At 34.0% G+C, this 22,991-nt stretch overlaps 1 protein-coding gene across 2 annotated transcripts in view; it reads left to right on the forward strand.

Annotated features, from left to right (window-relative positions):
* ABCE1 (ATP binding cassette subfamily E member 1) overlaps positions 1-22,991 on the forward strand; it is a 31,214-nt gene that overhangs the window by 2,956 nt on the left and 5,267 nt on the right. The window contains exons 2-16 of one of the 2 annotated variants that reach the window (NM_002940.3): positions 3,120-3,249; positions 4,339-4,424; positions 6,749-6,846; positions 7,866-7,983; positions 8,837-8,974; positions 9,109-9,178; positions 9,702-9,798; positions 10,973-11,062; positions 16,027-16,148; positions 18,666-18,887; positions 19,908-19,967; positions 20,067-20,125; positions 21,755-21,865; positions 21,949-22,091; positions 22,212-22,334. In NM_002940.3, coding sequence (NP_002931.2) covers positions 3,147-3,249; positions 4,339-4,424; positions 6,749-6,846; positions 7,866-7,983; positions 8,837-8,974; positions 9,109-9,178; positions 9,702-9,798; positions 10,973-11,062; positions 16,027-16,148; positions 18,666-18,887; positions 19,908-19,967; positions 20,067-20,125; positions 21,755-21,865; positions 21,949-22,091; positions 22,212-22,334 — 1,640 coding nt within the window. In that variant the 5' untranslated portion in view covers positions 3,120-3,146. The remainder of the gene's footprint in view (positions 1-3,119; positions 3,250-4,338; positions 4,425-6,748; positions 6,847-7,865; positions 7,984-8,836; positions 8,975-9,108; positions 9,179-9,701; positions 9,799-10,972; positions 11,063-16,026; positions 16,149-18,665; positions 18,888-19,907; positions 19,968-20,066; positions 20,126-21,754; positions 21,866-21,948; positions 22,092-22,211; positions 22,335-22,991) is intronic. The other variant, NM_001040876.2, reaches the window with a different exon arrangement.

Here is a 22,991-nt window from a genome sequence, read left to right on the forward strand (position 1 = left end):
TACAGGCAGAAAGTGCCAAGATCTTGAAGCAAGAACATGCCTGGCATGTGCTAGGAACAACAAAGAGCCAATGTAGCTGGAGCCATACAAGAGCTAGAGTAGTTGGAGATGAGATCAGAAAGTTAACAGAGGCTGATCAATGCCTCATTGATTATTTTCAGGACTTTGGCATTTACTCAGATTGAGAATGAAGCCATTGCAGGATTTTAAATAGAGGAGTGACATGATCTAGCTTACTCTTTAAAAGGCTTCCTATGGTTCCTGTGTTGAGAATGAACTGTTGAGGGTTAGAGTAGAAAGAGGTGAGGGTAAAAGCAAAGAGATCTGTTAGGAAGCTATTTGAGTGATGCTGGTAAGAGATGATAGTGATAGCTTACACCAAACTCATGAGATCAGATTCTGGATGTTTTATAGCTTCAGTGGGATTTGCTGTTATTAGGTGGAAAAGAAAATGACTTCAAGGATTTGGGCCTGAGCAAATGGAAGACTGGAGTTGCCATCTAACAAAATGGGCAAGACTGCTGAAATTTTGGTGAGGATATCAGGAGCTTAGTTGGGAGATTCCTCTTAAGCCTTCCAGAGATGTTAGGTGGGCAGGAAGGGTTCAAGAGAGGTATGCTGACTAAAGATAGAAATTTGGAAATTTGCAGTATATAAATGGAATTTAAACCTGTGAGACCAGAATAGAACAACTTGGGGAATGAGTATATGTGGAAAAAAATGACCAAGTCTTAGAGCACTCTGCATTTAGAAGCCTGGGAGATGAAGATGAGTGACCAGGAAAACAGTAGAAAAACCAGATTAGTGTTGTATCCTAAAACCAAGTTAAGAAAGGGTTTTTATCTAGTAGGAAAAGTGTTTATTTGTGTCAGATGCAATTGATTGGTCAGGTGAATTAAGGTCTGATAACCATTTGTTTTAGCCATGTGAAGAACAATGATGGCTCGAAAAGTTTTGATTAAATGATGGGCTCTAGAGCCTAGAATGGATTCCAGAGAGCATGTAGCAAGAAATTTGAGACATTGAGTATAAGCAACTCTTTGAAGTAGTCTTGAAGAAGGAAAAATAAAACAATGGGAGACGATGGGGTCAGATAATAGAATGCCTGAATGCTGATAAGAATGAGCCAGTGGAGAGAATAATTGATGAAGTTAAAGACAGAAGGGAGAATTGTTGGGACATTCTTATGGAATGTCTTCTAGTGTACAAATGGTCTTAGCCAGGGAAATACATACAGTGTCATTGCTGGTTGGCATAAGGGTCCATTTGAGATGATGAATTTAAAGGGAGACTAGTCAGCAGGTTTTGTGTTTTTTTTTCACCTACCATTTTCAGCTCTATGTGTGCAGGTGAAGAGTCGAATTTAACCAAGATTGTGATTTAGGGTATTTTAGCTGGGTGAGAAGGAAAATAAAAACACCAAGAGCTGAGGGACAGTGGAAATATGATAGAATCAAGAGATAATGAAAGGTTTGAAGAATGGAGGAATCAGAGTTGTTGGATTGTTGTGTAGTAGGGGGTGAACTAAAAAGATAAGAATGGTGGTTGGAGAATGGAGTATTTGAAGTTGAGGTTATAGAAGGATTGCAATTACTGGTAATGATAAGGTCTAGGATGTAACCAGAAAAAATGAATGGCTGTGGTAAGGTAGAAGACAAGCTGTTTGAGGAGAGGGGTTAAATGAGAGGACAGGAGGGTCATCTGTGAGCATATTGAAATCGAGAACTATGTCAGGAGTTGTAAAAGAGTGTGTGAAAGTTAACAGGGGCTGAAATCTTCAAAGAATGAAAGGGAGTGATCTGGTGGTCACTACTAACTAAAGCAGTTAGATAGTTGAGATGCAAAACTTTTTAGGGAGGAGGGAGAGATAATAGTCTAGGACAGCGTCGAGGAGCAAGATCTCTTATCCCCATCCAAGCCTAATGATATTGATGGGTGTGAAAAAGACTTGAGATGTCTACAAAGGGAAGCAGTCTATTAAAAAAAATAAAATAAAATCAAGATTGATTATCACAGTAAGAAAAAGACAACATGATCTCTTTCTAAATGGATAATCTTGGTTTCAGATTCATTCATTACATATTGGAATAAACTTGAGTATTAAGGCACCTTTTGGAATTTTTTACTTTAATCACCATTCTAAGGAAATTAATTTCTGAACCACTAAGCCCAATATTGTGAAAGATTTTTAAGTTAACTTTGATCTTAATGCTGTGTAGTTGATTAAATTGGAATATCAAGACTTATAAAAGCTTTAAAAGTGAGCATAGTATATACATATAGTTATTTGGTCTCCTTTTAATTTCATTGCTATTATGATTATTTGCCATTTCTGTCAGTGTCATTATAGTCAGATGTACACGACGTGAAGTAATGCTTAGTTTGGGGGAAGAGCTTGTGGGATTTCCCCCATCCTGCTTCCCCTTTTTCAGTTTTCCTGGCTATTAATAATTCTTTTTCCATTAGAGCTTTAGATTTGCTTTGTCTGGGTTGGTTGGGGTTTTTTTTTTTTTTTGAGACTGGGTCTGACTCTCATCCAGGCTGGAGTGCAGTAGTGTGATCTCAGCTCACTGTAACCTCCACCTCCTAGGCTCAGGTAATCCTCCCACCTCAGCCTCCGGAATAGCTGGGACCGCAGGCGCACACCACCACATGTCTGGGGTTCTTTTGTTTGTTTTTTCTCATGAGATTGAATTAAATATATAAATTCAGGAAGGGTTTAAATCTGTGATATTAACTATTCTTTATTATAAAAACTGAGATAGCATGTCATTTGTTCAGGTCATTTATATCATTTGGTGTTGTTTTAAAGTTTTCTTGTGTATATATCTTGTTGAGTATATTCCTAGATATTTTCTTTTTGTCGCTATTGTAAATGACATTTTTTTCTTTCCTTATATAAATCTTCTGATTAAAGTATATATGTAAAATTTGATTTTCCCAACCTTACTAGATTATAGATTATTTTACAATTTTTACATTTGTCAAAATTTATATTTTTTTTTTGCAGATAATCATTTCATCTCCATATAATGATCATTTATGTTTTCCTGTCTTTCATGTATGCAAATTAGTTCCCTTAACTAATGGCATTAAATTTGTTGATTTTTCTTTCATAGAAGAGCTGGATATTCTTTCGCCCAGTTATGGCAGACAAGTTAACGAGAATTGCTATTGTCAACCATGACAAATGTAAACCTAAGAAATGTCGACAGGAATGCAAAAAGAGTTGTCCTGTAGTTCGAATGGGTAAGCTGTTCTGTGGATCATTTAAGTATAAAAGAAAACCATGAAAGAAATCAACTGGTTTGATAATTCTTTACGGACATTAACATAAACTTTGTGTTCACCATTAGTTTCATAAAACTGTGAAGACAAGAAAAGTAGTTTGTTCTAAATTTCTTTTATTGCTTTGTGACTGAAGGATCATATTTTTTAAAGAAAGACCAAATTTTAGAATAATACATCAATATTTAAAAGTGTATTGGATGTGAACTCAAAGCAGAGTTCAGCTTACTGATCTTGAAATCTACAAAATCTTATAATTACTTTAATATTATATATATAGTAATTAATTACTATAATCAATGGGGGAAGGGTTACAGTAAACTTTGACAGTATTTTCATATTTAAAAAATGAACAAAGAGCTTAATAAGAATGACTATTCATAAGGTTTAACTATATTTTGAAGATTAGATAAATTTCCAACAATTCAGTTGAAAAATTATTGGTAGTCGTTAAGGGCTATGTTAAGTAATTGTGAATATACGAATGAGGCATAGAATTACTGACTCTTAGAATTACTGAAACTTAGAAACTTTAGTTGTCATCTGTTATTGTCTCCTTTGCTATTCAGAAATTCCATTATCCCTACTACCATGTTTAATTTTAGCTGTATGTTAGATGACTGCATACCTTTTTGGAGTTTTACTGATCTAGCTACAATAGTTCATTCGTTTAATGCTCTGCCTTACCATTTTCAAGGCATATTTTGTTTTATGAATTTAAAATTTAGGTTAATCAGCTTAAAAATATTTCAGGATATGTCATACTTTTACTAGCATATTTTCTTCCCCAGTAGTAAATTAAGTAAAATAAATATATATTAATTAATCATCTCCCTGCTGCCAAACAAGGATATTCATATAAGTGATTAGAAATCTGTCCCCACAAAGCACTGATTTAAGACATTATCTCAAATGTATTTCTTTGTGTGGCCTTTGTTTTTGAAAATCTGCTTCTGTATGGAAATTTAGAACCAGCATTGCCTAAATAACAGTGTTCGGAAAATTAGAAGATCAAAGGAAATGGCTTAATTATATCTTTTCCTTTACCAGGAAAATTATGCATAGAGGTTACACCCCAGAGCAAAATAGCATGGATTTCCGAAACTCTTTGTATTGGTTGTGGTATCTGTATTAAGGTAAGTAATATTTTATTTACTGGATCAAACGTGTAACCTAAAACTGAAATCTGAAAATTCTGGATACTATGCTATAACTACTTTAAGTGAGGCAAAGTATAAAGCAAATGAATAGAGAATGTAAATTTAGGAAAGTGGTATTCTAATATCAGTGACATTGTTGCTTTTTTAAATAAATTAAACCACCCTTTTTAAAAGTTACTCTTGCTGTACTCAACTTTATAAAGCCATTTCCAACCAAAATTTCTCTTTTTTCACCTTTTTATAAGGACATTACCATCACATTACATGTTTCTTTCAAGTCTGTATTGAATTTTAAATTCACACCTTTTAAATAGAAATGCACACAGCCAAAAATTTTAAAATTTAACATAATTCTTCTACTGTATTACACATGCTTCTATTGAATTTTTCCCAATAGTATAATACTTAAAATAGCTCAATTATTAATAGTTTTTGTTGCCTTGAATAGTTTGATTAGGCTTTTGACTCATGAATGGTGAATTTCCAACTTTAGTTCATAAAAGAAATTTAGGAGCTAATGTGTAACATACTTAATTTAGATCTTTCTGTTTGTAGATATTATAAAAAGGCGCTTCACCAGAATTCAGATACCACACTATTGTTCAAATAAATCGTGTGTATATTTCACATTGGTTTCTGAATCCTTGTTTAAGTATCCGGAAAGATTTCATGGATACCTGAAACATTTTCACTTGCTTTGAAAATATAAACAGGAAGCATTCCTTCCAGCAAATATTTACTAATCTCTTACTAGATACCTGCCTTTATCCTGGGTGCTGGGAATCTGGTTTTGAGCAATATAGTATCTATTCTGTTTTCTCTCTTTGTGCTGTAAGAAAATTATATTAATTTAAATTTTAAATTTTGGATATACACTTGAGTGGCTAAAAACATACTAATGAGGTGGTCCTCTTTGAGGGTGGAGAAGTAATGTATAATTCCTGAACACTAAGATATTATAATGTACCTCATATATGAACAGTGGATATTTTTTTCCTTGTAGAATTGAGTTTAAATCACTTGCAGCATATAAGCATTGTATGTACATTTAAGAGAAGAGGATAATGGAGGTAACTCCACTATCCTCCACTGTAATATAGAAAAATATAATTTGTAAAAACTTAATAGTTTTGGTTAGAGGGTGGAAATTACTTTATTAGAAAACAAGAGTAATTATCTGTTTTTATAATGTATAAAATGGAAATTCCCTGGAATCTCTAAACACGGAAACTTAGAATTGGTCCCCTAAGCTCATTGAACATGTCTGCTGAACAGATCTCTAATAACATGAGGTTATAATTTTTGCATGTACCTCTGTAGTTGTCTGTACTTACGAAAAATTTTTCTAGCCATATTACCATTCTTAAATGACCTTCCTGTTTTTGCTGTTCTTGTTCCTTGGACAGTCATCTTATAGTTGAATGTTATTTGAATAAGCCTATGTGTTTTATTTTGTTTTTTAATGTGAATTGACTCCGAGAATTCAAGTATCTTATTCATATAAGATAGATAAAAGTCATAATGGAAAGACATTAATCCCCAGTCTGTGCAAATATGCTAGCTATTGGTGGGATGGAAATAGCCCAAAAAAGGATAAGATCCATGACCTCAAACGACTTTACAAGGTAGAACAGGAAGTATACAAGGGCAGGAATAATTGAAGGAAACAGAGGGAGAACATCTGTTTTGGAAAGAATATAAAGCCATATATTCAGTGACTTTTTTGTTGACTTGCCTCTTAGCCTCCCCTCATCTAATATGTTTTAACAAAACCAAACAAAAAACCTCAAGTTCTACAAGGTTTTTCAATAAGTATTAAGCACTCTTTAAATGTATAGGATTATACCCAACACTAAAGGGAATATCAAGTTACAGTTGACCCATGAAATCACAGGTTCAAACTGTGCAGATCTACATACACGTGTATTTTTTCCCCCAACCAAATGCCAATTGGAAATAGAGTATTTGCAGGATGCAAAACCATTTTAGAAAGGGCTGACTTTTTCTTTTACTCAGGTGCTCCAGGGCTGACTGCAGGACTTGAGTATGTGCCAATTTTTTGGTGTACTCGGCAGTCCTGGAACAATTTTCCCCACATATACTGAGAGACAATTGATATAATTCTAATGTTCAAGGAACCTTTTATTTTAAGTAAATAGTAGAAGGAAATGAAACAACATTTCACATCTTTATGAAATCATGTTTAGAAGATTGCTTATAAAAATATTTTTAATCCATTTTAGTTATGTGTATATGTCTACAAATTAATACAAAAATTAATTCTTTACTTTAAATAACAGAAATGCCCCTTTGGCGCCTTATCAATTGTCAATCTACCAAGCAACTTGGAAAAAGAAACCACACATCGATATTGTGCCAATGCCTTCAAACTTCACAGGTATATTTTCACATCAGGATTCCTCTTCTGTCAAGTTAAGAGTAAAATACATTTGGGATTTTAAGAGAAGTGCAGAAATTGGGGGGAAATGCTATTAACCAGTCACTAAAGGAAAATACAATATTATAACATCATGCAGAATCATACTGCATATGTCTGTGGTTCATTCTGGCTAACATTACAGTTACCTATGGGACTTTTTAAAGCTACTAATGCCCAGGTTTCAGCCCAGTTTAATTACATCATAGGGTCTGGACCTTAGTATATTGAAAAAGTCCCAGGTGACTCTAATATACAACTGGGACTGAGAGTCACTGTTGTTCCTAGTACCCTTATCCCCAAAATAACTTTTAAGGGAACTTGCCTTTGATTTTGTTTATCCATTAATCTTATGATCTACAGAGAATATCACTTTGAATTTGGACATGTATTATTAAGGCACAAATAAATCCTTAGTTTGGGATTTTTATCTGCTGAACACTAACACTTTGAATCTAGGAGTCTAGATTTTTACTAATAAAAAAGTATTTCTCAACCTGCCAGCTTTAAGGGGCCTACTGCAGCAGGGAGAAGGAAGTGGAATATTTCTGGTTGATGTGGCACTTCTCTCCTTGTAAGTAAATGGCAGGCCAGAAAAGAAAGACATTGTGAGGTTGCACCTGCTGTGTAATTTTGTACCAAAGCATTTTGTTATACATTAAAACTGGGCCTTATATGTAAAGAAGAAATTTACTTTAGGATGGACTTTGAAAACTGAATAAATAAAACTTGTAGTAATGTTGTTTAAGGATGCATTTCTAACAATTAACAGTGTAAGTTAATCTTGGCTGTTCTTTTTTCTAATAGCCATTAATCTTGGCTGTTTTTTTCCTAATAGCCAGTAATATCTGGCATATGTTTCTTAGCTTATTAATGGATGGTTGTGAAGTGCAGGTGCATTAAAATATATCATTCTGATGTTATGTGGCTTTTTCTGTGTAAATCTGAGTTGTTTTATTATTTTTGTATACTTGTAACAGGTTGCCTATCCCTCGTCCAGGTGAAGTTTTGGGATTAGTTGGAACTAATGGTATTGGAAAGTCAACTGCTTTAAAAATTTTAGCAGGAAAACAAAAGCCAAACCTTGGAAAGTACGATGTATGTATTATCACCTTGTAAAAATTAATATCATGAGTCAGTTTTATGAGATTTTGGGGGGATGATATGTATATTTTTAAAATATTCTTATTTTCAAAATTATTTATGGAATTAATGCTGAGAAATTTATAAACAAAGCTCTTTTGTACTTTTGAACTAAAAATCTGTTAATGTTACTTAACTGAAAATTCTGAGTTGTTAAGCCTTGATCTGAAGCAGAATTCTGCTTGATTCTGCTGTATTACACACGTTTCTATTTAATTTGTCCCAATAATGTAAAAATAGCTCAATTAGTTTTTGTTGCAGTCAATAGTTTGATTAGGCTTTTGACTCATGAATGGTAAATTTCCAACTTTAGTACATAAAGAAATTTAGGAGCCACTGTGTAATGTTCTTAAGTTAGATATTTTTATTTGTAGATATTATAAAATGGAGCTTCACCAGAGTGTGAATGCCGCCCTATTAATTGTTCAAATAAATCATAAGTGTATTTTGCTTTTCATTTCTGAATCCTTGATTAAGTATCCAGAAAGATATCTTGGATACCTGAAAACATTTTCACTTGTTTTGAAAATATGAGCAGGAAACATTCCTTCCAGCTTAACCTCTTATTAGATGCCCTTCTATGTCCTAGGTGCTAGGAATCTGCTTTTGAATAACATAATATCTGTTCTGTTTTCTTTCTTTGCTGCTATAGGGAAATGAGACTTTTATTAATTATGTTCGCCTCCAACCTTAAGTTAAAAGCCACAAGTGTTCTATTTGCATATATAATCTATTTCCTGTAGCATTCATCCTCTTTGTCATTGTATTATTAAATTCACATGATTCTGTATTTTTTTTTTTTTTTTAGGATCCTCCTGACTGGCAGGAGATTTTGACTTATTTCCGTGGATCTGAATTACAAAATTACTTTACAAAGATTCTAGAAGATGACCTAAAAGCCATCATCAAACCTCAATATGTAGACCAGATTCCTAAGGCTGCAAAGGTCGGTTTTTGATAGAGGGAACTTAACGGATATTAGTAGAAGTATAAAAGATATATCAAAATAAACTTGTTTTACTTTGTGATTCTTTTTAATATTGAAAGAAAATAGTAACTGTTTTTGGTATATTGTGGCAGGGGACAGTGGGATCTATTTTGGACCGAAAAGATGAAACAAAGACACAGGCAATTGTATGTCAGCAGCTTGGTAAGTGTTTATTTTTTGTTTGTGTGAATATATATTTATTTATTTTTTGAGACGGAGTTTCGCTCTTGTTGCCCAGGCTGGGGTGCAATGATGCAACCTCTGCTTACCACAACCTCTGCCTCCCGGGTTCAAGCGATACTCCTGCCTCAGCCTCCCAAGTAGCTGGGATTACAGGCATGTGCCACCACGCCCAGCTAATTTTTTGTATTTTTAGTAGAGACCGGGTTTCTCCATGTCAGTCAGGCTGGTCTCGAACTCCCACCTGCCTCAGCCTCCCAAAGTGCTAGGATTACAGGCGTGAGCCACTGCGCCCGGCCATTTTGTGTATATATTTCAATAGGCCCTGAACTTAAGTGATGAAAGTACACATCTTTATGTGGATTACTGAAAATCTCCAGTAATTGTTATATTTAAACAATTTTCAACTGAAATAGCATTCAAACTTCAAATGATGACATGCAGTATACTTTTTACCTGGAAGAGGTGAAATACATTGAGCACAATGCCTCTATGTTCTTTGTAGATTTAACCCACCTAAAAGAACGAAATGTTGAAGATCTTTCAGGAGGAGAGTTGCAGAGATTTGCTTGTGCTGTCGTTTGCATACAGAAAGCTGATATGTAGGTTACTTTACAATTTTTGTTTATCTTCATCCGTATTGTAGAGTTTTCAGTTGTGATGCTGCTAATAGAGGAATGGTTTTGAGAGAAATTAATAGAAATAGTATCTAAGTTCCTAATTTCGAGGTAAGATGTTGAAGCAGTTGTGTATCCACTACTCATTTTCCCTGTTATATTCACAGGGGAAAATATTTATTTATTTAGATAGTTTATAACTGATAGGTGCCGGAACTTTTTATATAAAGTCAGTTATTCATTATCTAAGCTCTCTTTTTTTGAGACGGAGTCTCGCTGTGTTGCCCAGGCTGGAGTGCAGTGGCGCAATCTTGGCTCACTACAAGCTCCACCTCCCGGGTTCACGCCATTCTCCTGCCTCAGCCTCCTGAGTAGCTGGGACTACAGACGCCCGCCACCACACCCAGCTAATTTTTTTTTGTATTTTTAGTAGAGACGGGGTTTCACCATGTTAGCCAGGTTGGTCTTGATCTCCTGACCTCAATGATCCACCCACCTCGGCCTCCCAAAGTGCTGGGATTACAGGCGTGAGCCACCACGCCTGGCCTAAGCCCTGTTTTTATGTGAAAAGACTTAAGCTCTCCAGCCAGGCTAGCAAGCTTTTTAATATCTGAAGCAAGACGCGAGGTCTTTTAAATCACTGTAGATCACTGTGGCATGCCATGTGAAAGAGAGGAGAGGAAAGTTTCCTTCCTTTATTTAGTGTCTCTCCTCCCAGACATTTATTGCTGCTTTTTCCACATTTCTGCCCTGTTGTCCGGTGAAGGCTAACTCTTCTCCACAAAGTATTCTATAAATTCTTGAAATACCCTCCAAAAAACTATGCTTAAATGCAGCTGACTTAAGAGAAAAGCTCTCCAAACTACTTGAGACTATATCAGAATACTTTTTATGAGGAGTGACCAATTTGTAAATTAGCCTAACCTGGTAGACCCTCACCAGACCTGGTGTGTAATCTTGCTTTCTGTAATTTTTTCCTTCTACTTCTGAACAGAATACAGAAATTTTTACCATTACAAGTAGACTCTTCATTACTATTGGAGATTTGTGTTGTGGTTAACTCAAAAGCTCTTGATACTACAGTGCTTTAAAATAGTATGTAAGGTAGAATGTCTTGTCTTTCAAACTTATATTTGCTTTTTTTTTTTTTTTTTCATAGTTTCATGTTTGATGAGCCTTCTAGTTACCTAGATGTCAAGCAGCGTTTAAAGGCTGCTATTACTATACGATCTCTAATAAATCCAGATAGGTAAGTAGAGATCTGGCATATTACTGTGTTGTTTTGTTTGGAGATTTTTACAGATTTCTAAGGATTAAACACTGGGACTGTCAATGTGATGTACATATTTTTTATCTTGGTTGTTTATAGCTGCCACCTAAATTTACCTTTCTTTACCTAGAACAGAGGTTCTCAATGCAAGATTCATTTATTAACACCCCCGCTTCCAGGGAGCTTAGGAATATTCTGAAATTATATGCAAATTCCGTAGCTTTATAGGAAGCAGACCCTTAGCTTTTACCAGCTATCTTTTTCTCTCTCTCTGTCTCTCATTTTCACACACACAACACACGCACGCACACGCTTAGAATTTGTAAGAATCACTAGAGTAATTCTGGTTTTTCAGAATCTTGCTGGACAAAAGAAAAGAAAATTATCATAACTTCTGTTAGTATTCAAAATACGCTGTGTTTATAGGGTGCTTTTGTGGTTTGTAGAGTTTTCAGATTCATTATGTCATTTGATCCTCATGGTTATCTTGTAGGAATCTTTAGATGGTATTCCTATTTTGCAGATGAAGCACAAGGTCAAAAATCTAGTTGTTTGTTCTAGGTTACAAATTTACTGTATGACAAAGCTGTGACCAGACCCCAGGGGTTTTTTTCTGTATAGTATTTTCTGTGTTATACTGCCTCTTCTGACTTAACAATTTAATGAACATCCTTTTAAATACATGGCTCATCTTGCAAGAAAGCAAGAGAAATCCCAAATGGTCAAAAACTAAAGCATTAGAACTATAGAGGAGTAATAGGACCAGATGTTGATGGTTTCTGTAATAGGTCTTGGGTTTTAACATCCACTCATGGGCAAGAAGCAAGGTCTAGTATTGGATTTTCACACATAAAGTGCCAGGACTCTCAAAGGACTGCTTTCTCACTGAAAGGGCGAATTAGAAACAACTTGTCTATCATTGCACGGAAATGTCAAGAAAGCAAATATCTATCATTCACTGAGCTCCCTGGAAGTGAAGGGATTGCTCTGTTTCAAATCTCTATTCATGGGCCAGCAGCTCGCCTGGCTATGGAATTGAAATTTATATAACCAGTGGAATCTGTGAACCCTTCAAAGTGAGAAAGTAATATGTTTAAGGGGTCTGGAACTTTTATGGTACATAGCAGAAGCAACGAACCAATATGCTTTCAACCCTGGTTGCACAGGATTCCTATAGGTAATGGCTCATGAGGACGAGCTCAAATTGTAAATTATAAAATTTATAAATTAGAGGAGGAAACGGTCCGCAAATTAGCCAGCACATATTATATGGCAGCAGGATTCAAGAACTTTAGGTGACATTCTAAGGGCGGCTATTAAATAATCTTCAAAATAAAATCTTTAAATAAAAGGATTCAAAACCCTAAGGATATAATGCTACTAAAAAAGCAATAGGTAGATGTTCAGAAACCCAGACAAATCTAGAAATTAAAAGCATGGTGACATTACAGATTCACTGGACATGTTAGATGGGTTAGGGACAGCAGAAAAGTGCATTAGAAACCAGATCTTAGGAAGTTACTAGAATACAGCAGAGAGAGAATAAAATTAAAATGTGGAAAGAAGGTTCAGAAACCTGGAGAATGTAATGAGGAAACTATTTACATATATCTTAATAGTCTGAAAAATAAAGTGATGAAAGGATTATGACTGAGAACTGTTCAGAATTGATGAAAAATTCAGCTCCTTAGATTCAAGGAGCACAAGTTCTACAGATACTAACTAATTCATGTAGATACTTTGAAGTGAAACTTAGAATATCAGTGATAAAGAGACAATCTCATGTGAGCCAAATAGAAGCCATAATTTTTACTCCATACACAGGCATTAAGAGCCTGGGCATTATGATAGGCTCTTTGGGGAAGGCAAGTGTAAAAATACAGTCCCAGTATTCAAGGACTTCACAATGTGGTAAAGAAAAATACACACTGTGGTAAAGAAAAGCATACACATGTACCAGAGTCTTGAAAGGAATACACAAAGTCAGGTCACTAGTTCTCAACTCAAGTCACTTTTTATAAAAAGTATTTTTATAGTCCCTTTTTATACTAAAATGAAAGTCATAGATAATATCTACGTTCATATAAAACTTTAAAGATATCAAATCATGTCCTAACAATAAGAGGAAAACTAAAAGAAAATACTAGTTTACAGCCAGTATTTCAATGTGTAACTGTTTAGACACATCACTAGAAAACAAGGCATCAGGTACTTATATTGACTTATAACGAATAAATTTAAAATTAAAAGATCAGTAACTATTTTGTATAGTTGCAATAGGAAAGTGAAATAAATAAGTGTAGATGGACCTCGGGGAAAAAAAAACTAGTTAAGGAAAAGTAATACTACCCAAGACTTTCCTATATTATAAGAGAGAGGACAGTAACTTTAATTGTAATAGGGATAACATGGTAAGACAGATTGGCATGACAACGTAGAGAAAATTTTTAAGACATTTCACAAGTGGGCTGGTCTTATTTACAGGTATAAAGTTAAGATCTCTATGTAGTGATAGATTGATGATAAAGAGTCATAAAAAGTATATCTCCATTCTGAAATTTGATGGGTCAAGGCATACATTCAGTCTTTAATGCCATAAAAAGATTTTGGAGATCATATCCTTGGATAATGAAAAATAGAGGATGCATTGGACAAAAGAATAGAGATTTAAGAAGTTTTATAGAGTTTGACCTCAGAACATTATCAGTAACATTGAAGACTAAGAGATAGCCCCAAATTAACTGTAGGGTATACATTTTTTACAACCTAGATTCCTTACTATGCTCCAGATTTTTATTTCTTCCCAACTTCTCAGAAAACAGAATGGCTGACCTAAATCATGTTTATATTTTGGACTTCTGTCTCCATAACCTCCATTTGAAGGTTGGGGTTGGGGGCAGGAAGTTTGACCTATTTTTTTCTTCTTTTCAAAGCAAAGTAAAAGCTACTACGTAATACAATGCTCCCTCACACTGGCTGTTTAAGGAAACATAGGATTTTAAGAGTAGAGAAGTATTCCATGTAATGGATTAGTGCCAACAAAGACACCGATGCAAGATGAGTATCACCAGCTCACCTGGGTGATTTGCCATTTTTATTGATAATTACCACCATTGTGGTAGAAAACATTTCCTTTTAATTTTCCCTTTTCATCTTAGACCTGCTCTTATTTTCCAATTTTCCATTGTTACTTTTTTTTTCTTGCCAGATTACTCCTGAAATGTTTTCTCATTTCATTCCCTTACTCTAGAATTGTGCTGTAGCCTCTAGACAAACATCCTTATTTAAATTTTAATTGAAATTAAAATTTTATTTCATCAAACTAGCAACATTCAACTTATGGCTAGTAGTCACTATATGGGACAACATAGAGATAGAACATTTTCATAATTGTAGAAAGTTCTGGACAGTGCTATTTCAGAACCTACTACTATCTTCCTCATTTCCAATTAGTTCATACTCTTCATTTTGTCATTCAACAACTTTTTTAGGTGTCTGTTAGTACACAGTGTAAGACTAAAGATCACAGAGGTGCTAAAATGTATTAAGAGTCTCCCTTAAGATGTTTATGAGCAAGTTATGGGGTAATCAAAAATAATAAAAGTCCAAGTATCAGTCCAAATACTTGTTACCAGTATTCAAGAGTGAGGGGGAAAGCTCATTTGCATATTAGGAAAAGTATTCCCATAGCAAGTTGGATTTGAGATGGACCTTAAAGGGTTAGGTGGGATTTCAGCAGGTAAAGATCTAGGCAGGAGACTACTTAGAAAAAGAATAGCTTCCTAGACACCAGAGAAGTAGAGAAGTGGTTTATTTAAGAAAAAAGATGCATTCTTCAGTGTTTCCTGTGTATGAGCTAATAGAAAGATAGTAACTAAAGTTTTAGAAAGTGTTGAAAGTCTAAGTCTAATTAATTTAAGTGATTAATTTCATTTGGAATTGAGACCCACATCAGGGGACCTAAAGAAAATGAGATATGAAAGAAATACGAGGGCCTGAACTAGAATTTAGGCAAAGAAGAAAAAGGGTGAGATTGAAACACAAGACATTGTTGAGAAGGAATTCACAGACTTTAACAGTTTAAACAAAATATCAGTGGGAATAAAATGTCATTTTTGAGGGAATGATAATTTCGTTAATACAAATATGGAGAATTTTTATTTGTGTAGGAAGCTGATACATTAATTTGACATATGAGATGTTTGCAGGACATTTTTTTAACATGTTGAATGGTGTTCGATATGGAAATGGGAATAAAGTGCTACATAAAACCTTCATGACTATTACTTGCGTCTAAAACTTCTATTCCAGCCAATACTGTATCACTTCATTCAAATATAGCCACTTAAGCTTCACATCATATCCCATTCTCATTCATAAAGTGCTCCAGTACCCACTAACCTATTTTCTTTCTGATGTTCACTGATTTTATTATCTGTGGAGCATATTTTGCCATGTAATCTTTTTTTGTTACCATTTCATACCTATTCCTTGTCTTCCCCAGCTAAATGGAAACGTCTCAGGTTAAGGATTCTGTCCTATCTTTGTGTATGCGTCCATCCCCTACTACAGCTAGCATGGGACAGGACAGGTACAGGGCTTAATACATAAATTGAGTAGCATAATAAACAGTTTAGGCTACATCTGAATTAAATCTATTATAATTACTTTGTAACACTTATTTCGAAATATGTTTCTTATTAGCAGAATGCATTTAATTCATATATCAATAAACTTTTAAATTGGCTGATTTTTTCCTTTTAGTTCAGGAAAACATTTTTAAATATGAGCATTGATAATGAGCCTTACTAAAAATGTTTTATGGCTTTTGCTTCTTATGTCTTTATGCTTAAATTTTATTAGATGTATCTCTTTTTCTGAAATTTCCAACTATTAAAAATAGTTATGTAAGAGTTTTAACTAAAATCTGGTTTGATTTTCAGATATATCATTGTGGTGGAACATGATCTAAGTGTATTAGACTATCTCTCCGACTTCATCTGCTGTTTATATGGTGTACCAAGCGCCTATGGAGTTGTCACTATGCCTTTTAGTGTAAGAGAAGGTAACTTGAAAAACTTTTTTCACATATGCTGTATTCTCTTCTACTCTAATGCTTATAAACTACATTATTGATATTAAGTAGTTTTACATTGGTCTGATATCATCCAAAACTCTAGTTCCTTGGAATTTAATCACTGAGCATATAAGGTTATATATATCAGTTGTTATACAAAATATATTTTTTTCATTTTGGAGAATTTTCTCCTGGGGATGGGTAGAAATGCAATGTTACTTTTGTTGGGGGTTGGGAGGCTACAGTAAAAGTCCTCTGCATTTTGGCTTCTGCAGTATTACTGTAGTATTTGTCATTTTCAAATTAACTTTGACAGGCCAATACCAGTAATGAAACTCTTAAAATGCTTTCAGTGTTCATCTTGTTTTCATGTTTTAAATTTATCTGTAATATGTATACTATGTTTTTGGAACTAAGGCTATCTAAAAACCTAATAAGATAGTTTAGTAAGTGTATTAAAATTTTCATTTAGTCTTTGTACTTCCAAGAAAATGAGATTCCCTGGCCTCTCCCTTCCATGTCTCCTCCTTACCTGTGTAATTTAAGCAAAAATAGAAACTAGCGTACCACTAAGTGGCTCCTTAAAAAAAAGTACCAATGTACTCTCTGCCTTCAATACCTTTTTCCTTTTTTTCTTCCCATTTTCCTTTCACTGCTTCCTTACTTGTGTCTTATTTTTATTTTTCTCTCCACCTGTCTTAAACTGACAATTCAGAACACTAAAAGGGCTGTTTACTCAGGAAAAAAATACCATCTCCTAGAAGTAGAAAAATTCATGTAGCCTGTAGTTCCCTAAGAGGTGACAGGTTTTTTGGTTTCTTTCTTTCTTTTTTTTTTTTTTAATCTTGGAGGAATCTTTTTTATACCTAAAAGCTCTTTTGGAAAAATAAATTTATATTGCATTATAATCCTTTTCATAAAAAGATATTGGGAGTTTTTATAATTTATAAAAAGTACATAAATATTAAGATGTGGGGAAGAAATGGTTGTAACTTACCTACTTATACATTTGAGATAGATGCATACTTTAAAGAAAAATTTGCAGTTACCTAGTTTTCTTGCCAGTAGTCTTAAGGGATGACATCAGAACAAATTTATTAATGTTTTATTCTTGTCAATTAACAAATATGTATTGAGTACCTTACTCTATACCATATGGTAGTCTTTGAATCAAGTTGATAATAATATGGGTACTCGGCAGTCATTCTTCACAACTCCAGTTATAAATGTCATGTCTAAAGGCTGTGCCATTCAGTAAATGGTACCCAGTAAGGTTTTTAATGTGCTCGATCTATTAAAACAGCTTAAGAAACTTTAGTTTTTCTCTGTTCCTTTAATATATTGAAATCAGTGCAGCATACTTAAAAGCTTTCTATAAACTGTAAAGGTGATTATGGTTTGAACTCATTTTTAAATTGACAAGACAAACATTGAAGTAGGACTGTAAAGACTGACTTGCTGTGTTTTTTTTAAACGAAGTCACTTAGTTCTTTGAGCCTTTATTTTCCAAAATAAGTTAGGTATTTGAACCAAGTGGCTGCTAAGGTTCCTTTGAGTTTATGTTTTTATGTAATTGTTTTTATTTAATTTTTTAACTTCACATTTATAGGTTTTAGATAGTTTAAGATCAAAAAACATGCTGATTTTGGCAAAATAAATGTAATCTGTTCATTTGTTCTGTCAGCAAAGATGTATTGAACACCTGTGTTCTAGGATGAGGATACAGGCTGCATGATGTGTCTCTCAGTTCCAAATAAAATGAATAACGTCAAGACCTTCCAAGAAACTTCAGCTTTCTCTTCACTTAAATATAGGAAACACTGAAATATGGATTATTCATTGTTTCTCAAATACGCTTTTCATTTCAGTGTGTCTGCCATTGTAGATCTTAAAATTTTATTACAGAGGGTTCTTGTATACAATGTGGATTTAAGTTATTAAAATCTGTTTAGATAATGGTTGTTATCTTTGTACAGTGAAGCCATTAAAAAAATGTTAACTGGAATTAGCTCATATTCAATTTCATATGAACCTGCAGGATTAATTTTTTTAAAGCAATAAATTATAACCTCAAAATATGTGCTTATGTCTCATATGAAATTAAATATTGATAACATTGTATATTAAAAAATTTATCCCCCAAACTTTTATATCAATATTACATCAATCTGAAAATACTCTTACATATTTGTCATTTTCGCTTTAAAGATAAAGCAAAAAGGACATCATGTGCTCTCTTTTGCATAAAACCTGATGGAAAAAGTAATTACAGGATAATGAGAAGATGTACTTCATGTGGTTGGGGGGGACATGCATATATATTCATGAATTATTTAAACTTACATTAAATATATATAGTTTTTTAAGTTACTTCTTTATATGCAGACCAACATGTTAGCAAAAATCCACAGAAATTTAAAGTATATAGTCTATAGATTGCTCCCAAGAGAGCTTAGGATTTTGGCTCTAATGATTTCTCCCGGTTGACAATTTTCTTCCCAACAGGCATAAACATTTTTTTGGATGGCTATGTTCCAACAGAAAACTTGAGATTCAGAGATGCATCACTTGTTTTTAAAGTGGCTGAGACAGCAAATGAAGAAGAAGTTAAAAAGATGTGTATGTATAAATATCCAGGAATGAAGAAAAAAATGGGAGAATTTGAGCTAGCAATTGTAGCTGGAGAGTTTACAGATTCTGAAATTATGGTGATGCTGGGGGAAAATGGTAAGTTTTCTGTTTTGTGATAAGTAAAAATCTTCCTGTTTATCTAGTAAATTAGTTTTAACTGTTTTGTGGAAAAATTTGAATCATATGTTATAGGGCTAGAAGCAGAGTTTTATTTAAACCCACAAATTTCTTAGTGTACTTTCACATTTTTTTGGCATTGTGTAATTCAATTTCACTGTAATTCAATCAGGTTAATAGTTCTTATTTTGTTTTATAACCTCTAGTGAAAATAAGGTGTTCTTTGTCAGCTGGTTTTTTACATGTAAATTGATAAGGCAGTTATTAATCTTATAAATTGACTAAGATGGAAAGGATAAATGGTGATTCAGAAATAATCCAGCTTTAAAAATTTTTTCCTCATACACTTCAATGTGGAACTTTTCTTATTTTAAATTCAGAGCAATCTACCTTTGTAAATAATTGTATTACCAGCATATATTTCATAATAAATTGTCATAAGTGTAGATATAAGATGAATTTGACTACTAAATATGTGATATTGCCTTCATGATTTAAGAACTATTTGAATTGTAATCTTACAGCTTACAAAACTATAGAAGATAAATTTTATATAAAGATTGTTACAATGTATCAGTCTTTAGATAATGGGAATTTTGAATTGGGTTGCAATTAATTTAAATATTTTATATAAGTAAACTTTAAAATTACAGTTATCTTTCATAAAACAGTCTATACTGTCTTAATAAATTGTGTGCCCTGATAATTTAGCTAAGTAGATCTTTTCAAACTATTGCAGGATTTAAACTTTATAGACATACCATTTATTAAAATTGTCATAAGCTTTGACTAGTCTTTATTCCTCTTAATTACCTTAGAATGACACTTCAGAGGTGAGCCATGAAAGACTTAAGTATTTTTCTATATAAACTTCAGAATTCAATAATGTCAGTGTATATCTTTAAAACAAATTTCTCAGTTAAAACCAAATAGGACATAGTGATTTACTTTAAACGTCAAGCATCTTTCAGATCAAACTGTCATATGTTGTGTTGCCAGGAACGGGTAAAACGACATTTATCAGAATGCTTGCTGGAAGACTTAAACCTGATGAAGGAGGTACATTTGTAACTGTTGAGTCTTTTTACTCTGTTTTACACAGTAAACTTTAAAGATCTGGGCAGTTTTTAGTGTCTTATGTATTTCATTATTTTGCAGGAGAAGTACCAGTTCTAAATGTCAGTTATAAGCCACAGAAAATTAGTCCCAAATCAACTGTGAGTTATTATTTTTTATATGGTTACTAAAGAAAATTTTGTATATATGCCTATAGCTTTCATCTTTTACTATATTAAAATTTTTCTCCAAATTAGATTCTATACAGTTTTATTGATAGTTGCAAACAAATGTATTAAGAGTCCAATCCTTGATTCATATCCACTGCTAAGAAAGTGCTTTAAAGATATTTGTCATCTTTGGCCGGGTGCAGTAGCTCACGCCTGTAATGCCAACACTTCGGGAGGCCTAGGCCAGCAGATCACGAGGTCAGGAGATCGAGACCATCCTGGCTAACATGGTGAAACCCTGTCTCTACTAAAACTACAAAAAACTAGCCGAGCGTGGTGGCAGCGCCTGTAGTCCCAGCTACTCAGGAGGCTGAGGCAGGAGAATGGCGTGAACCTGGGAGGCAGAGCTTGCAGTGAGTGGAGATTGCATCACTACACTCTAGCCTGGGCGACAAAGCGAGAGTCTGTCTCAAAAAAAAATAAAAAAATAAAGATGTTTGTCATCTTTTTGCTAAATAAATAATTAAAAACCTAATGTATTTTGTGCTGCAAATTGACAACAGCAAGAAGGTGAAAAGGCTTTACCCACAAGATGGGAGAAACATTTGCACATCATATATCCAATAAAGGACTTGTATCCAGCATGTATAAAGAACTCTTATAATTAAAAATGAGCAAATGTCTTTTAGTTATTCAGCCATAAAAAGAAATGAAATATTAACAAATGCCACAGTCCTTGAAACCATTCTGTTAAAGTTAACCTCCTTTGATTTCTGCGGGTGTTGTAATGAACTCCTCAGTACCTCAACATTCAATTTATGTTTTGTCTACTTGGCTTAGCTTACCATAAAAGTTTTGTCATTGATGCTCTCTATAAGCTTAGCTTTAAATTCTAAAATTCAGCCTTATCCTGAAACAGCAAGGAAAAGCCATCTTAGGATTCATCCCTAGCACATTATCATGCATTTTGTGTTCTCTTACTGATTGCCTAAGGTTGCTTGATACCCACTTTGACCTTTGGAATTTCTACTCTTAAATGATTTTTCCTCTGAAACATTCATTATTTGCTTATTACTTTCTAATTTTAAAATTATTGCAGGGGCTGTGGAGTGGAAAAAAAAAAAAGATTGTTGCAGGCTGGGCATGGTAGCTCACGCATGTAATCCCAGCACTTTGGGAGGCTGAGGCAGGAGGGTCACTTGAACCCAAGAGTTTAAGACCAGCCTGACCAACAGATTCCGCCTCCACAAAAACTTAAAAATTGGTTCAGCATGGTGGTGCATGCCTGTAGTTCCAGCTCCTCTAGAGGCTGAAGTGGGAGGATCGCTTGAGCTTGGGAGGTTGATGCTGCAGTGAGCCCTGATCATGCCATTGCACACCTGGGCAATGGAGCAAGACCCTGTCTCAAAAGAAAAAAAAAAATTCCTTTTTACTTGTTGGACATGATGGGTTTTGAATAGAAAATCTCAAAACATGTCATAGATGGTGGATACACATTGATATCTGTTGGTGGCAAATTGATATACTTTTATTCTGAAGCTTAACTTTGTCAAGATTCATAAATAGAAGAGTTCTATAGTGAAAGTTTATCATTTAAATACTTTTTTATATTAAAAACAGGGAAGTGTTCGCCAGTTACTACATGAAAAGATAAGAGATGCTTATACTCACCCACAATTTGTGACCGATGTAATGAAGCCTCTGCAAATTGAAAACATCATTGATCAAGAGGTACTTTAACATAATTTTTTTTATTTTTTTATTATTTTGAATTTTGGATGCCTTTACATGGTTTGCTAAACTCCTCCAATTAGGTGCAGACATTATCTGGTGGTGAACTACAGCGAGTAGCTTTAGCCCTTTGCTTGGGCAAACCTGCTGATGTCTATTTAATTGATGAACCATCTGCATATTTGGATTCTGAGCAAAGACTGATGGCAGCTCGAGTTGTCAAACGGTAAATATCTTGCTCCTAGCCATATTTTGATTATGTATACTGTCCTACAAGTGTGCTTAATATAACAGTCGAATGTTTTATGATAGAAAGCTATAAGATTTCAAAATCATTGTGTTTTAGTTTCATACTCCATGCAAAAAAGACAGCCTTTGTTGTGGAACATGACTTCATCATGGCCACCTATCTAGCGGATCGCGTCATCGTTTTTGATGGTGTTCCATCTAAGAACACAGTTGCAAACAGGTAAAATTACTTTTTAATATGTTCAAAGTAATTCATTTTAAATTTTCCAGTAAATAGTAAAGTCACTCACTTTAATTTTTAAAAAATGAAAGCTAGAAATTCTAGACTTGATTCTGTGACTCCTGAGATCATTGGTATTGGGGACTGGATGGGACCATGTGGAAGAGTAGTGTTTAGGCTTCAGTGTGGAATCCCTCACCAGGAAGATAAAAAGCTGTAGGCCACAGCATAAAAAGCTGTGGGCCCCTCACCTTTTCTCAGCTTAACTTTTGTTTGCTTTATTATTTGAATTTCCCAAAAAAGATTGAAAACTATTGCTTTCATACATGATAGAAAAAGAAAACAAGATTAAAGAGGTTACATGATTTGTCCAACTTATGCTGACAGTGATTGAGCTCACAGTGGATCCCAAATATCTGGTATTAATCTATAGCAGAGTTAAAATAAATGGTTTTACTTTTTTCGTTTTTTCTTCTCATTTTTCCTTGTTAGCCTGATTAAGAGCACTTGCAATATAGAGAAGCCTAACATTCAGATCAAGTTATGAGAAATTCATTTTACCTTTAGTGCTAAAGCCTATATTATTAGATTGAACTAAATGAAATTACTGGTGTTCAGTTTTCACCTATAAAACCAGCAGTTTCATGTGGTTTCAGC

The sequence above is a fragment of the Homo sapiens genome, chromosome 4 (assembly GCF_000001405.40).
Source record: "Homo sapiens chromosome 4, GRCh38.p14 Primary Assembly".
Lineage (NCBI taxonomy): Eukaryota > Metazoa > Chordata > Mammalia > Primates > Hominidae > Homo > Homo sapiens.